The sequence below is a fragment of the Homo sapiens genome, chromosome 7 (genome assembly GCF_000001405.40).
Source record: "Homo sapiens chromosome 7, GRCh38.p14 Primary Assembly".
NCBI classification, from domain to species: domain Eukaryota; kingdom Metazoa; phylum Chordata; class Mammalia; order Primates; family Hominidae; genus Homo; species Homo sapiens.
The window spans coordinates 34071622-34088232 of record NC_000007.14 but is presented as its reverse complement, the minus strand read 5'-3'; the positions used below and the strand labels follow the sequence as shown (position 1 = coordinate 34088232).

Genomic DNA, 16611 nt, shown 5'->3' with positions numbered 1-16611 from the left:
GGAAGGGCACTCTACCATGACACAATGACACTGATCAGGAGAGCACAAGCCTACTTCCCACCACATCCTGGCCTCTAAATCTCCATGCACAAGGATCCCAAGAACATTCTCATGAGCTGCCCAACTCAGGGCATCAAGCCCTTTACACAGCTAAGCATCCTCCATTGTAGATGCTGTAGAATCATTAAGGGCAGAAGGGGAGCATTTGCCTGGCCACCTAAGGAATCCAATGCTCTTTATTCATAAGTGCCCAAGTCATCATTCGTAACTTCTGTTGAAGCGCTCATCATATTTCTGTTGCAGTCCAGAAATCATAACACTAAATAAATCACCGAAGGCAAAAAGCATAGAAATTCAAAAAAGAAACTAATCTCTTCAGACCTTCTCTCCAATTTTTGTTTTCAATACATCCCTTTGAAATGGGATAAAAATCAAAGGTGTAGGCTGCTTGGCCCTGGGAGAAGCACAGCCTTTCCATTCTATTTTAAGCAGAGAAGGGTCCAATCCAAATTTGCAAACAGGATAGAGGAGCTTCCAAAAGAGATCTTACTCTTCTTCATTACTGAATTAATCACGGAAGAAATGATGGCAACAATTATAGAGCGCTGACTATGTGCAGGCATTGTGTTAAGCACATGCATTCATGTTCATAATCTTACTGAATCTGGATGGCGACTCTTCAAGGTAGGTTCTTTTATTATCCCCACTTCACAGATAAGTAAGGTGAGGTTTAGAGAGCTTAGGTCATTGTTTTAGGTTGCATAGCTGGGCTGGATTTTGAATCCTGGGGCACCACAAAGTTCTTAATTGCTATATTCTACTGCTTTCCATCAGACCTTCAAGTGAGGGTTTTTAGATTCCAAATAAAGCCAGGTTTGTCTATCTAGCTGTTTAACTCACTGCAAAGTCTCACGTTAAGATCCCTCAGTTTCACTAGACAAGAGGTCAGTCTAGGGGTGGTACAGAGAGGAGAAAGAAGGGAACCCAGAGAATTCAAGTTATAACAGGAAAATGGCTTGAAGGAGCTAAACCCATGACTCGGAGCCAAATGGTTTGGCACATACAGCCATGTTCGGGGATTTGTGATGACAGGGACAGTCTTTTTTCCACCCCACTTCGAGCCGCCTTTATAGAACTTTATCTTTTATGTCCAAAGATCAAATAAAAAAATCATATTTAATGAGAACTAGGGGAAATAAACTGGTGGTAATTAAAGAGTAAAAATAACCTCTCTGTGGCTTCAGACCACAGGAGTTTTCTAATTTTAAGAGGCACAGGCAAATCACTTAAACAAGGCCTTTTGGGCTGTGTTCATCTTGTGTTTCCTCCCACACCCACAGTGGTTAAAGTTATAGGCAGCCATAGCTCTTGAACCCATGGAATTGTGTAGTAAATGGAAGTACACCCAGGCCAAACTCATCAACTCAGAAACACAACCTTGCAGTGCGGAAGTCAAATCCAAGTCTCCTTTGTAACCAGTTGCTTTGCGTGGAAGGGGGTTAAAAAGAGTTAGAAAAGGTTATGGAGTCCTGAGTCTTAATAAGAGTCCTTCCTCCCTCCATCCTCAAGCCCTGTTTCTACTGTCATCTGACTCTAGACGTGAAGTCTCACAGTTGGCCAAGATCCAAATAATTCTCATTTTGCTTCCTTATTTTCCATGTGCACATTTGATGTGGGCTAGACCATAAGGCAGACCTAAACTCTTCCTCAGGTAGAATAACCAGACTCATTCAAACACCCAAAGGCAGCCAAGTGACTTGAGATTCCGTTTAGGGGAACCAGCTCTGCCTTGTACTACTGTGGTTTAGGCCAGAATTTGGGAAGCCCTCCTCAATCTTAGAGTTAAGCTAACACCTGGAAAAACCCTGCAGTGTAGCCAGCTTTCCAGTAAACGTGCAGACCTATAAAAGCATGGAATTGCCTGGAGGACATCGCTCTGAAATACTTCTTTGAATTTCCCAATTTGGGACCTAGAATGGGGCTGACTCAAGATGAGATCAGCTCCTGGACAGCAAGAAGATGCCTACCCTGGGTTTTGAGCCTTTGTCCTGCACAACAAGAGATTTCATACACCATGTTCCAAGGTCAAGTCTATTATTGGTCTGCAACCCAAAACCATTCCCCAGAACACTGTACTTACCGGTAGAAAGTGGCGTAGTCCACAGTCGAGTGGCAGGTCTGAAACTCCCAGGATTTGAGCTTTTGGCATTCTCGATGGGCCCGGAGCTTTACCTTGACTGTCCCTTGACACAGTTCAGGCACTGGCTTTCTCTGAGGTCTGTTGCAGAACTCATTGGACTCCACCCTCCAAGATTCAGCAAAGTCATCCACATCAAACTTGAAGTTTCCATCTCCACCAATTAAGTCATCACGTTTATGTCCATTGTAGTTGCCACAAAGACCACAGAGCTTGCCCTTGAGATGCGGCGCAGCCATGACTTCTACAAAACTGTCTCCATCCCAAGATATTTCCAAACCTAGAGGAGGAGGAGAGGAAAAGGAAATCAATCACTCATTAACGCACTAATAATTCCCAAATGTATACATCCTTACACAGAACATATGACTGACTGTCCTCCAATAAGGAGCACCAAGGGTTGGTCCAAATTCTTGGTTACCTCTTAATCTCACTATAGTGAATAATGTGTGAAATTATCTGAGTCATTTGCTGGTTGGAGCTTAGAATTTTTAAACCGTATAAAGTTTGTCCTGATAACATCCTATGTACCCCTGGTTTGACCTACAGATGACTATCCCTTGACATCCTATTCTAGGGTTTATATTTTTCCCTTTTCCTAAGGTAATCATGTTGGTCCAAATCATGCCTTCATTTATCTAATGACTACTACAATGTGCAAATGGAAAAAAAAAGATGATTGTTTTTTAATGCAATTATTTACAGCCAGAAATTCCACCATGTAATTATTCCCCCAATGCCAAAGGAAAATTTCCAAATCATTTCCTATAATGAGAATACTAAAGCAATCAATATTTAGTTTCTGAATATATCCCCTTCAAAGGCAACACTGATATAATGAAAACATTTGCTCCCTCATTATTTTACAACCATTCCTGAGGCATGGACACTGTTTGATTAACATTTCTTGGGGTTTGGGGTTGAGTTGTTGTGAAACCCTTCTAATTGCTATCCCTCAGGCCTCCGTTCTGGGTTTGCTCAAAAGCTTCAACATTTCAGGCGGTGGTGGAGGCTACCAGGCCATGGGCAAGAGTTCTTCTTGTGCATACATCAGCAGGCCAGTACTGCTGGTTCATCAAGGAAATTCTCTTTACTCCAGAATGTAGAGAACTTAGACCCTTCTTGGTTTGCTAAGCTGACTATCTAAAATGCTGAAGAAATTATCTGAAAGTATGCATATACCTCCAGACATGCTGGCCCAAGACTTCCAGGAGCCACACTGGCCAATGACTCTTCTGAATGGTGGAATTTTTATGTCACAGGTAGAACAGCCATGTTATGCTGTCACACAGCATAGATACATCTGACTAGAAGGTCAAGAAGAAATGCTGTCATATCCACTCTGACACTGTGTGTGAAGATACCACCCATAAAAGAAAGGAGAGGCTTTCATGAAAAGTCTTCTGAGGTTCAACCCAAAACAAATGACAAACTTTTCTAGCCAGAGTTTTTGTTTATGTCTCAAATGTGTGTTTTCTTACTGTTCTGGCAACACCCTGGCAGTGCCTGAGTCTCCCCAGTGAATGGGTGAACTTTGTACTAGTGAATGCAAGTGGCCACCTGTGGCATGGACACCAAGAAACATCTACAGTGGATCAAGGTGTATTTCGGCCCTGGGACTTCTCCTAATTCACTCTCTGTCTCCAAAGACTGGCACCCACAGAGGAAGCTTCTTTTTAACAGAATGGTCTCTGCCCACTTACCCCGTGTGGCCATGTGTTTTGTTTGTTTGTTTTTTAGACAGTCTTGCTCTGTCGCCCAGGCTGGAGTGCAGTGGTGCGATCTCAGCTAACTGCAACCTCCACCTCCCGGGTTCAAGCAATTCTCCTGCCTCAGCCTCCCGAGTAGCTGGGACTACAAGTGCATGCCACCATGTTCAGCTAATCTTTTGTATTTTAGAGACAGGGTTTCACTGTGTTGGCCAGGCTGGTCTCAAACTCCTGAGCTCAGGCAATCCACTCGCCTTGGCTTCCCGAAACACTGGGATTACAGGCGTGAGCCACTGCATGCGGCCTTTTTTTTTTTTTTTTTTTTAAATCTTTCCTCTTGTGATCCTGACAAAAACATTTTTCATTTTGCCTGTTTTGAGCTGCTGGAAAGAGCAAAATGACTTTCCTCCTAAAAGGCTTTTTGTTCCTGAAAGATCAAGATTAAGCTGATGAGCAAATGTTCAGAAGTTGGAAGATGAGGTGGTGATGGGACAAGAGAAATAGTGGGAGGGAGTGTGGGAGGGAAGGAGAGAGAGAGAGAGAGGATCTTGTCTAGATATGAAATTGGCATAAGGCAGCAACATCAGAGTGATGTGTGGAAGATCAGGAAGAAACACCCAGAGGTAAGACTCCTAAGCCAATACACCTGAAGTCTGGATATAGTCCAAGAGGAGAGAAGGCTGACAGATAGCATTCCTATGAGTAGGTCATACAACTGCCACAAGAGTTACTTCAAAGAGAGATACTGGTAGAATAACCCACAGTCTAAAACTGGGTTTCTCAAGAAATAAATGGAAAGACCCATAAGGAAATCACTGTATGGTCAATGGAAGAAATAGAAACATTCTTAGACCAAAAAAAATTTTAGAGATTTCTTGGTTGAGAGAAGAGTCTGAGTTCAGAAAAGAAATTAAACAGACTTAGATAAAGAAGAAAGAGAGCCATAGGAAAGTCTCTTTGGGGAATAATTTGATAAGGAGAAGACAGTGATGGGACCAGGTATGAGAGAAGGGACATACAGCTGGAAACCCACAGGCTGGGCTGACCTCCCATGTGGATCTCTGTGAGAAGACCATGTCAACTCTGGCAACTACAACTATCATAGAAAACGAATTCTATTTCTTCACACCCTATCATCCAACACGTTATATAGCACATAGTACGTACTCAGTAAATAAATGAATTACCCCGGTAACACTGATACACTCAATCTGTGAAGCCAAAGACATTGTGAGTTTCATGCTTGTCAAGACACCGAAATAACCATTTTGAAAGATGACAAGCAAACTATAAGATGATTTGTAATACACTCTGTCAGGTATTGAAGAAACTTGACCTCACAAGCCTGTAGCTAGGCAGCTGCCCAGCAAGAGAAATGAGGGGAGAAAATCAACTCCATACAAAGTCTAACTTTTACAGCATAATTCTGAAGATTTTCCATGTTGCAAAATTTTCCAAACTACAAATCTCTTTCCTAGACAGCAGGCAAATACTGTTCTTCTAAGTACCACAAATGGTTGAGAATGTACACACCAGGGATTTCCAACGTCTTTACTACTGACAATGCTATACTAAATTTGAGACTTGGGGCAACTGAGTTCATGGGAATTCAACTCACAGTGAATGACTGTGTTCTTTCTTTGCAGTGGACTGGTGGTCCATACACTTTGAAAGATGCAGATCTGCCGTGTTTCCAGTAAACCCTTCTCAAAACTCGTGACATCTCATTCATAAAACACGATCCCCAAAGTAAGAGAATAATTTGTAATTCACTCTCCTGTCTTCCTCTTTCTCCTTGCCATTATTACATTAAGAAGATTTTTCACAGACCAATGCTAGGCTTTGCATTGTGAAGGGATGACTTACTCTACTACAGATGCCCTTGTCTGGCTATATCATCTACATATGCATTTGCATGGATATTTTTACCCTCTACATGAGCAAAATCCATACAAAGTAGATTACAGTAGTGAAAGACCAAAAAAAAAAAAAAAAAAACTAATAAGTTGTAATTGAGGGAATTGCTCTTCCAAATAATATTTTAAATAGGCATCTTATGAGATGAAAACATCATGGAAGGGTTTGAGAGGCTGATGATAGTCCTTCCTGCAGCTGGGATGAGTTTCTCCATTCTCTGCATGGGAAATTGGGTAGAAATAACTGGCAGAGTCAGAAGGCTAAAGCTGAAGCATATGTCTCATCTGGGGATGCGAGCAGCAGCCACATTCCTTCCACTGCAGGAAGGGCCTTCCAATTTTCCCTTCTTACTAGTGAATGCTTTACCAACTTGTTCTTCCCCCTTCAAATATGTGACCTAGCTCCAGACCACTAGTTGGGTTTTTTGTGGTTTTTGTTTAATTTTGTGGATATTGTTGTTTTGCATTGTTTGTTTCCTGGTTGTTATTGTTGCTTTTGCTGTTGTCCACTGAGAGAGAACGTGCAAAAAGGAGAGAGGAGGTGCAAAATTTGTAGCTATACCATAGTGAGGTTTACAAATTGATAGTTTTTCTATTCAAATTTTACACCAAAGAAAGGGGAAGGTAGGATGTATTCTCTGGGTTCATCAAGTGTAAAGCTCTACCAAAAATAAAGTAAAAAGCCATGCTCTCCATGTGTTAATGCTTTCAGGTAGATGTGATGTAATTCTTTCAGGTAAAGTTGATGAAGTGAACAGATGGTAGAAAGGAAATATTTTAAAATTATTTGCTAAGTGTCAAGAGTTGGGGTGGGAGTGTGTGGTGGAAGTGGACAATGCTCTCTCGAGCTACTAAGCCTTAGTTCTACCCTGCTTTTTATATTAGCTACGCAACTACAGCCTAATTCCACCCAAACTACACAGCCACCTGTGTTACCCTGCCAAATAATCCCATCGTAAGTGCGGAGCACATAAACCGCAGGGTCAAAGAGTCATTCCTCCCATCTCCCATCTTCCAGCTGCAGGCTTGAGTTTTTGAAGAAACTTGCTATTTTGAAGAAAGTGCCCCTTGATCACATGAGCTTATAAATTTTTTTTTAAATCTATGGAAGAACACTCAAAGGAAATGCTGTGATATTTCAAATACATAATCAATAGGTGGTAAAAAGATAATATCCCTAAAGGGTAGTTCAAACTGAGATGGAAAGACTAGGGTGGAAAACACCATTGTCTGGAAATAGAATTGTTTCATTCAAAGAATAAGTGTAAAGTAAGTTCAATGCCCAGAGGAATAGAATTCTTCTCTAGGAAGCAGAGGGCTTGTGTGATTCGTGTGCTACAGGAAATTGTTCAGCTGGGTATTGAGTTCCATGAAAATTACTTGCATCTTGGAAAGAGAGATAGAAAAAAAAAAGAAATTGTAAAACTGAGTTCAAGGCACAGAACAGTTAAATTCACTAATCTAATTATGGCATTTATGATCTATTATTATTCTCTTAGCCTCATCCTTTTGCTCATTTTTATAACATGGAATCTTTGTAAAGAGTACATTTATTCCATAAGGTTGTGTCAGCTGCGAATGGAACACTATCGAACCTCTTAGGCTGTTAGTCATCTTCAAGTACTCAAGATTTCTTTGAGAACTAGGCTGTGGTTGACTAATAATTTCCATATCAGTAGAATCTATTGTGTTCAGCTAGCTTGCAAATAGTCAAGGTGCTTTTAATTAGTGCTGTGTAATAATGGGTCATCTTACGCACATTTTACAGGGAGCCAAAAAACTTTGCCTCCTTGAAAGGAATGTCCTGGAGCCTACATTTACAGAGCGCCATGTCTTTTGGATATAAGAGCAGGTGTGTGAATTTTCTGAGCAGGACTAATCCCGCTAAACTTGAATGAGTAGATCTCTCACAACTGTGAAATAAAGAATAGGAATCTTTTCCCCTTATAAAATGTTCCAGTATATTAATACTTAACATTCTGTCACTGAAAACATGTCATACTCTAACTAAAAGCTCCCTGGGCTGCTTCTTGGTTTCCTGCCTTAGTTTAGCTAGGCTGGCATTCCATAAGCTCAAATCAACTTATCAAAATACCTTTTGGCTTGAATTGAAGTAATTGCCAGGGTTCTGAAGGTATGGTAAAAACAGTCTCTATAGCCCCTGAAAAGTGCCTGCTTTGTCAAATGTTTCATTATCTAAAGAAACGGGAATCCAACTGATACTTTCACACTTGTTAAATTCTTATCAATGCAAACAGCAAGAAATACACTGATTTCCTTAGAAGTATCATGCTTTAAAAAAATAGAGTATGCCAAAGGAAAGGCAGTGCAATATCCAACTGACAAAAGATATATATTAACCAAAGGTAGCATGGAAGGAACCATACATGATACACAAAGTGTGAAAATGAGCTGAATTTATGCTCTGGGGCTGATATTCAAGGACTGAGTTCTGCTTCTAAAATGCCTTTCTTAGGTAGCAAGTAACAGACAAGAGTTTGAGCCTCGTGGACCACTGGCAGTCAAAAATAGTTTGGCCCAAGGGGGAATATATGTGCTCTTGGAGTGGAAAGGCAGAGACCAGTGAGCCTACAGCACCATGCGCTGCTGAGAAAGAAGGGGCCTCGGTGGCATAGAACAGCCACGTGGAATATGGCTACTCCTGCATACCAGAGTCTGCCAAGAACAAGCCCTTCTGCTGTGGACATTTATGTTTCTTTTGAACATCACTGATACTAAGCTGTTTACTTTTGAGGACTCCGCTGCAAAGACTTGGACAGATGCTAACATAGAAACACTATTTCTCCCAGATGTGAAACTGCACATAGCTAGCTGAGCTGGGAGACACTGACAATTCCAAGCTGGGCATCGACGGCCTAAAAGAGCAACAAAACTTGAGAGAGGGGTTATGTGGAGAGTACAACTGCTATTTTTAGACAGAGGATGGAAAGGTTCTGGATGTGGGAAGATTGCAAGACTGGTGGGACTGGCATCCAATTGCAAGACTCCATACGGTCCGAATGTCTCCAGCTGTTTGTGGCATCTTCAGGATGTGACTTCCCTGTGAGTGGGGATGAGGCAAGTCCCGCAGTTGGAACCTGGCTCTGCCTTGGGTTTTTGCTCGGAGGAGGAACCACATCTCCTGAGTGCTCTAACCGAGCAGTGCTGCTGAACGGGTAAGTGAGGCGGAGGCTAGAGCAAGAGGGAGGCCACAGACGCCCCACCTGCTTTGGTGGTCACTTTCAAGAGGTAGCCATCCAGGTCGATGTGGAAGTGTGGCGCGCGGCAGGGGAGCGCGATGCGCGAGCCGTTCCAGCGCACGGTGAGGTGCTGCTGCAGGCTGACCCTGCTCTCGCCCAGCACCAGCTCCACCGACTTGGTCCACGAGAAGGAGCGTGTCCGGCGGGCGTCGTTCTTCACCAGCACCTGGAAGGGCGAGGCAGGGGAGGAGCAGTCTTTTGTCAAAACGTACTGACACGTCCCCTGAAAGTTAAATGTCCGACCGTCAAAAGTGTTGTAGTGGGGATCTCCAAACACCGTGCAAACGCCGGGCTCTGCGGAGGAGTGAGAGACAAAAGCCGGGTCACAAACCAAGCCAAGGATTCACAGAGAAATCAGGGGCACCTGCTGGGTAAGGGGAAGCCTTAGCAGAAATGCACTAAGGGAAATCAACTTAAAAAAAAAAGTGGTCGTTTTTAAAGGTTCGTGTCAAACCTCACAGAATACTCAGAATACTTCTGGTTCTTTTATACTTGAAAGTCATTTTAAAACCTCTGAATTTTCAAAGCATGCCTATTTTGTAGCCTAGATATGCTTCCATGATCTTAACGTAGGGAATGAAGAAACTGAACTAAGATAACTAAGAACTGGCCTTACTTCACCACCCACACATACAAGAGCAAAGTAAGTATATAAATAAACAAATGGGAGCAACATCAATGTCAATACACCAAGACATTAGCATGATTTTCATTTAACTAATTCAAAAAAATTAGAAACATGGTGTGCTGAATGTTTCTCATGCTCTTAAGGAAAGCTGATACTCAACACCCGTGTATTTACCTAGGATAAATCAATAGAACTGCCAAACAGACACGAGTTTAATAGTATCAGGAAACAAATTGCTAATAATATTTACAGATAGTCTTTATACGTTTTCCAAAAATTCCTATGTTTTGATCTAAGGACCATGATCTAAAACTGGATGAAAAATAAGTTACGAAATATAATTTAGTACAGTTAAGACATTCCAGTAAAGTCATCATTCTGAAATATCATTAATTCAAATACTTATGAGATCAAAGTAAAGTTTTACACTTTAGGGCAGCCCTAAGATTTCTATAGAAAATTAAATATTGTTTATTTTTTAAAACAAATCTTGGCGTTGGTTTGTTCTGCATGTAAATATATTTTATCCGTTTTCAAAAAGGCATGAAACAACCAGGAAATGAGGAATCCATTTAGAGATAGTAGCCCAAATAATTAAAAAAAAAATAAAAAGCACAATTTCCAGCCAACACTAGAATAATAGCCAGATCAAGAATAATAACCAGAATAAAAATACTAGGTCAAGAATATGAGAATGTCATATAAGTAATTTCTCAGAATATCTAAGGGAAGAATTGAGTCAAGACAGAGGAAGGATGTGCCAGCTGATCTGATAGCACCAAGGGGATCCAATGGAAACATTTGCTTTTAATTTCTAAAGTGTTTGGAGTGTAATGTTGCTTTATGTTATGATATATTATGTCATTTTATATGTCAATTTCATATGACTCCATACAAAGCACATACATTTGGAACTTAATAAATTAATTTCTTGTTCTAAATTAGTTTTCCTTGTCAATATTTAATAGAGAGTATAAAAGAAAAAGTTTTGGCATTTATGAGAATTTCAATGAACAAATACTTGAAAGAATATATAAAAGGCACTCCTCAGGGTGGAGGGTGGAAGAAGTAGGTGGGAGAGACACATTTTGAAAGCTCAGCAGTAATACTCAAATTCACCCTCCCTTTCTGTTCCTTTCTTATTCCTTTCTTGGTCGCTTTTCCTTCTGACTCCAATTTTACACGGTGTGTTGCTTCACATTTCACCCTTTTCCCACCTTCCTAACTCCATATCTTCTCAACTAGTTCCCAGCTATCTAACCTCTTCAGAGTGCATTTATCAGTCCTTTCTCCATGTGATTACTTCCAAAATCATCCTATCCCACATTTCCCCCAACATTCTCTCTCCCTGGCCATGAAATGGAATCTCTCCCTGGCCATGAAAATGTTGCTTTTTGGTTGAGGGAGAACAAGGCAGTTCTTTGGGACCCCAAGTGGCATCAGGAGAATGACAGTTCGGAAGTAATACCAACATGTGCCACAAAAGGACTACATAGTAACCTGATGACCAGATGCACCCAGTTGAAGAGAAGGACTTTTCCAGGTCCTTAACTCCACCTTCTCAGCAAGACTTCCCAGACCAACCAACGTTTTTGAGCTTTTGAGCATGCTACAGATGGACCTCAGCTTGGAAAGGCCAAGGTACCTCCTAAGGTTTTGAAATTATACTCCTGAGGAAGTCCTCTCTCAGTGGGGAGCAGGCACAGGGAATGCCCACAACCTGCTGCCCACACTCTCCTGTGGCAATCTTCTCCTTGTACCAGGGACACCAATTACATTAAAATTATCATTAATTAAAGCACTAATAGCTAACAGTTGCAGAAAACTCATCACATACCCTAACGCTCTTCTACATGCCTGCTGATCATGGATGCATCATCAGAAAATTGGTATTCAGATTGTCTCCCAATATTAAACAAACAGCTGAGCACTTTGTAATACAATCCATAAAATGAACTATGATCTAGTCACTGAAAAAGTTTGTGAATAATCTTCATGACTGAGGAAATGCTTATGACATGTTAAGTGAAAAATCAAGGACAAAATTATATGTACAGGATAATTTTAACTATGTTAAAATTAATATGCACAACCCCCGCCAAAACATACACACCCCAAAATTGAAAACAGTGGTTATTCCTTGATGGAAGAGCCATAAGTGACATTACTTTCTTTCTTATGCTTTTCTGTTTTTTATTCGTTGTTATTTTTTGTTTTGTTTTTTAGAGTCAAACTGTGGGCACTTGTAGATAAGGCCAATTACATGACAAAGCAAGTCGTCATAGAAGCAGCAGAAGATCTACTGCCTCAAGTGACTCTGGGGAAGCCTGAGCTTGCTCATAGCTGGGCGGGAAGCAATGGAGAATGTCCAGGGAGACTCTGGGCAAGGGAAATCATGTGTGAACAGGGCTGTCAGGAAAGATATTTTTCAAGAGGCCCTAACTTATGGAAGAGAAGGGTTTGGAAATCGGGATGATTTTTCTGTTTGACAGCAATATTGAAGAGGCCAACAAAATATCATGACTGTGAAGATGCCTGAAAATTATGTGTTGCATTTGGGGACATTTGTATCATGAACTAAAATAATTTTGAAACCTTGGCCCTTTTTCCTGGCACCTCAAGGTCCCTATGCCAGATCCTGCAGGCGCAGTGAACTTGTGCACTAGAGAGTGTCTGCAAGTGAGAATTCTCAGTGTTACAAGAATCTGCCTGGCTGCAAAAGGAAAAGGCTCGAGAACACTTAGGGGACAGAAAAGAACACAGCATCCTCATATAATTTTTTCCAGTGGACCCAGTGAAATGAGCTTCAGTCCAACACGTCCAGATGTCCAGTCACACTCTTCTGGAAAGCCTGGCGTGATAGGCAGAGGGAGGGAGGCTACAGAAATAGACCATCCTGAAACTAACCTTGTTTGAATATGCGTAAGTCAGAAGATGGGGAGAAAGATGCCAGCTTATGACTGGTGGCACATTTTTGCATAGTCCTGTAGGTCAAATCATTAGATCTCATCTTTGTTTTGAGTTGTTTTCAACATATGGATACAAATGCACAGGTAAAGGGGGGTAAAAAAGATCAGAAGTGTACAAAACCAGACAATAGGAGTGAGTGTTTTTTCTCTAAGGTAATAGAATTATGTGTTACATTTCTTTTCCTCTTTCTTGTTTATGTGTATTTGCACTATTATTTACACTTACATTTCATTGTTTACAATGACTATGTATACTTTTGGAAAAAGAATATTTGCTTTAAAAGTTTAAAAAATACTGGATTAAAGACATACCACTTTGATGTTCCATACCTTAATAAGATTGCTATGAGAAATAAGAGTGACACTGCCTCTGAAATTATAGTGCCAATACTTTTCTCCTAACCACATCAGGTACATTTATTTATGTCATGGATATATTTATTCTAATGAAATGCCTTTCTTCTGAGAGCAGTGATTATTTTCAAAACATCTGTCAAAGAAAATTAAGGGAAAATTATACAATCACATGTTCTAAAAAAAAAATAAGAGAAACTGAGTAAACTCTAATCCTACTCCCCCCAAACACAACAAAACAAAAACATAAAAGCATAAGGAAGGGGGAAAAAGCATCATTCATGTTTCTGCCAATAAGAAACAGCCACTGTTTATAATTTTGTGCATGTATTTATTTGAACATAGTTACGATAATTCTGTACATGAAATTTGATTTTCTATTTTTTACTTAACATGTCGTAAGGTTTCTCCCGTCTTTAAAATGTTTTTTCACTTTGAAAGCACAGAATGGAACTTCTATCCTTAGTCCATTACTTCAGCAAAGAGAAAGGTCTCTCCAGCTCATCATACTTTGCTACTACACGGATCACTGCATTTCCAGAAATAATGCTCTAACCATGAGGAAGCCCAACACATAAAAAAACACGGCTTTAAACCTTTTCAGTCCAAACTGCAGGGAAACAGGCCCCACGAGATCACTGTGTCATGCAGGGGCTCCAGGAATCCCAGAAAGGTAAGCGTCGTGATGATGCCAAGCTTGAGTGAAGAATCAGGAAAGGCTGTTTGTCTAGGCCCTGCCTGAACAGTGATGGAGGCCTCTGATAGAAAGAGGCTGTGGTGCAACCCAGAACGACCCGAACTTCTCCATTCAGGAGCCCCCCATCTTGCACAGAATGTCACTGACAGCTATTGGCCCAAAAGGGACCTAAGGGTCAGCACATGATCCACCACGTGGCACCTGGGTGCCTTCCTTGGCCTCTTAAATGGGAAACAATCTAACATGTATGGGGGTGGGGGTGGAAAAGAGAGGAGTAGGTCACTTTCCACCAACCTGTAATCCACCAGAAATAGTAACCAATCTGTATATAAAAAACTGATTTCAAGAAATATTGTGTAGGTACATTGTTAAATGTTATGAATTTGCTTTCACATATTTTCCATAATTCCATGAGCTCACCAACTTGAAACAAAACAGCAAACAAAGTAAGCAGTCCCTAACTACAAGATCTCATCTAAAACACATCCAAACCCACAGCCAGTGCTACCATCCAGGCCTCTGCCATGGAGCCCAGTGCTGGCCCCCCTCACCTGGGCCCTGCAATGGCCCATGCCTGCCCAGCACTCCCTCACAGTTCACAGCACATGCATCCTTCAGCTCCCGGCCCAATGCCAGCTTCCCACAGCAACACCCCTGCTGCCTCAGCCAAAGTCGTCTATTTCCTCTAAATTTCAAAAGCAAAACTGACCACATAGCCCAGATGTTCTGGGACAGTCTTAATTTCAAATACTCTATCTTGTAGTCACACTATGTTTTTCCTTTTAGGGGTCAAAAATATGGTGTACCAAACTCATAGCCTGCTTATGATATATTATTTTCTTCCTTAGCTTATAGTTTTAGCATATTCTTAACTTCTAAGCCAGACCTTAAACTCCTTGTAAGTTTTATGTGTACCCCTCAGTGCCTGGCACACTGCCATGTATACAGAAGGGTCTACAGGTAGACACATGCCTCATAATGATGTTTCCATCAACAACAAACCACATGAGTGACAGTGGTCCCATAAGATTATAATACTGTATTTTTACTGTAGCTTTTCTATGTTTAGATGTATTTAGATACAAAAATACTTGCCATTGTATTATCATTGCCTACAGTATTTGTACTGTACAGGTTTGTAGCCTAGTAGCAATAGGGTGTGCCATTTAGCCTAGGTTTGTGTATAAGTGCACTCTATGATGTTCGAATAATGGCAAAATTGCCTAATGATGCACTTCTCAGAACATATTCCTACCATTAAGCAACATATAACGGTATATATGTAATACATGGATTCTTTTTTTAATTACTCAAAAAGTATTACTGCTGTAACACATATTATGTACCAATAAATGTCTGTTGAATGAATGAGTTAGTTAATTAATTTGAGAACATATTTTGGTGAAAAAAAAATTGCCCACACTGAACTTACTAAAATAGTTCAGTGTAATGACACATACAGCAGGTAACCAAAATCGCCTAATCGATTAACTGAATAATTAATGAATGCTCTCAGAATAAAGAGACTATTAGGAAAAAAAATTCTGAAAAGTCAGGAACATTATGGGGGAACTATGTCTGGTGCCAAGAAAGCTAGCTGAGAAATCCAAATTCATGGGAGTCCAATTTCTCCATTTGAATAGGGATAACCTACCCTACTAAAAATTATTGTTAAAATCAAAAAGCTAAATCAGAATCAGAACAACATGGGAAAAGAACTTACCTCTAATGCCTAATATGACCAAGAGTGGTCGGCAGAATAATGGACCCCCAAACATGTCCACCTCCTAATGCCCAGAACCTGTAACTATGTTATTTACATGGCAAGAGGGAATTAAGTTTGCAAATGGAATTAAGGTTGCTAATCAGCTGGTCTCAAGATGGGCACTTCTGAAAGAGGTGAATGTATTCACAAGGGCCCTTAGCAAAAGAGGAAGGCAGGTGCATGGGCCTTACAGTGTGAAAGGGACTCAACCTGCTGTTTGCAAGTTTGAAGCTGGAGGAAGGGGTCAGGAGCCAAGGAATGTGGGCTACCTTCAGAAGCTGGAAAAGGAAAAAAAAAAAAATCGATTCTCTTCCCTAGGGCATTCAGAAGAAACACAGCCCTGCTGACACCTCGATTTTAGCCCACTGAGACCCTTTTCAGACTTCTGACCTCCAGAACTATAAAACAATGCATTCGTGCTGTGTTAAGCCAGTGAGTGGTAATTTGTCATCTGCAGCCATAGGTAACTAGTACACTTAGCAATCCAGCGTGGCTAGTATAAAATAACTAGTGTATGCCAAGTACCACGCCAGATGCTTTCTGTATTTTCAGTATCCCCTTTCATCCTCACTATCCCCTTTCATCCTCACTATGTCTGTGCACATTGTATATTCATACCCTAATTTTTTAGCAATGAGTTTGAAGAAGTTGCCTTGTTGCCCATGGTTACTCGGCCAATAGTTGTAAGACGGAATCCAACCCAAGACACTGTGGCTTCAAGGCCATTCCTTTCCCCACAGCATCCTGCAAACTTGTTAACTAGCTGGGGTCACAGAGCTCTTTGATAATCTGAAGAAATGTGTAGACACTCAAATCCTCTCAAATGCAGAGGTTCATAGAGACCCTGTCAAAAGACTGATCAATGCTGTCCTAGGAGTCTGGGAACACCTATCTATAAGCTAATTATAAACAATAATATATGATTCTCTTATTTAATGTGTTTCTATTTCATCTCCCCAACTACATTAAATGTTTCTGAGCTCAGGGTCTGTATCAACTTTTCATTCATGTCCTCCAGAGCACCTTCCAGAATGCTAAAAGCTCACTGAATGTTAATATGCAGTTCATACAGAAGATGCATTTTTGCCACTCTCACTATCCAAGAACCGACCTTAA

The 16611-nt window shown here is 40.8% G+C and overlaps 1 protein-coding gene across 4 annotated transcripts in view, besides 1 other annotated feature; it reads right to left on the bottom strand.

The window, feature by feature from the left end:
* The window catches only part of BMPER (BMP binding endothelial regulator), a 251513-nt gene that overhangs the window by 68195 nt on the left and 166707 nt on the right, over nucleotides 1–16611 (bottom strand). For 3 of the 4 annotated variants that reach the window (NM_133468.5, NM_001365308.1, XM_047419939.1), the window contains 2 exons: nucleotides 9047–9376; nucleotides 2141–2477 (listed from right to left, as the gene is read on the bottom strand). In NM_133468.5, coding sequence (NP_597725.1) covers nucleotides 2141–2477; nucleotides 9047–9376 — 667 coding nt within the window. The remainder of the gene's footprint in view (nucleotides 1–2140; nucleotides 2478–9046; nucleotides 9377–16611) is intronic. The other variant, NM_001410872.1, reaches the window with a different exon arrangement.
* Nucleotides 11754–12255: an enhancer, noted in NCBI's record as "NANOG hESC enhancer chr7:34115590-34116091 (GRCh37/hg19 assembly coordinates)". NCBI's record gives its function as "activates a minimal SCP1, AML or CMV promoter by ChIP-STARR-seq in naive H9 embryonic stem cells {active_cell/tissue: H9 hESC(naive)}" and the evidence as "EXISTENCE:reporter gene assay evidence [ECO:0000049][PMID:30033119]".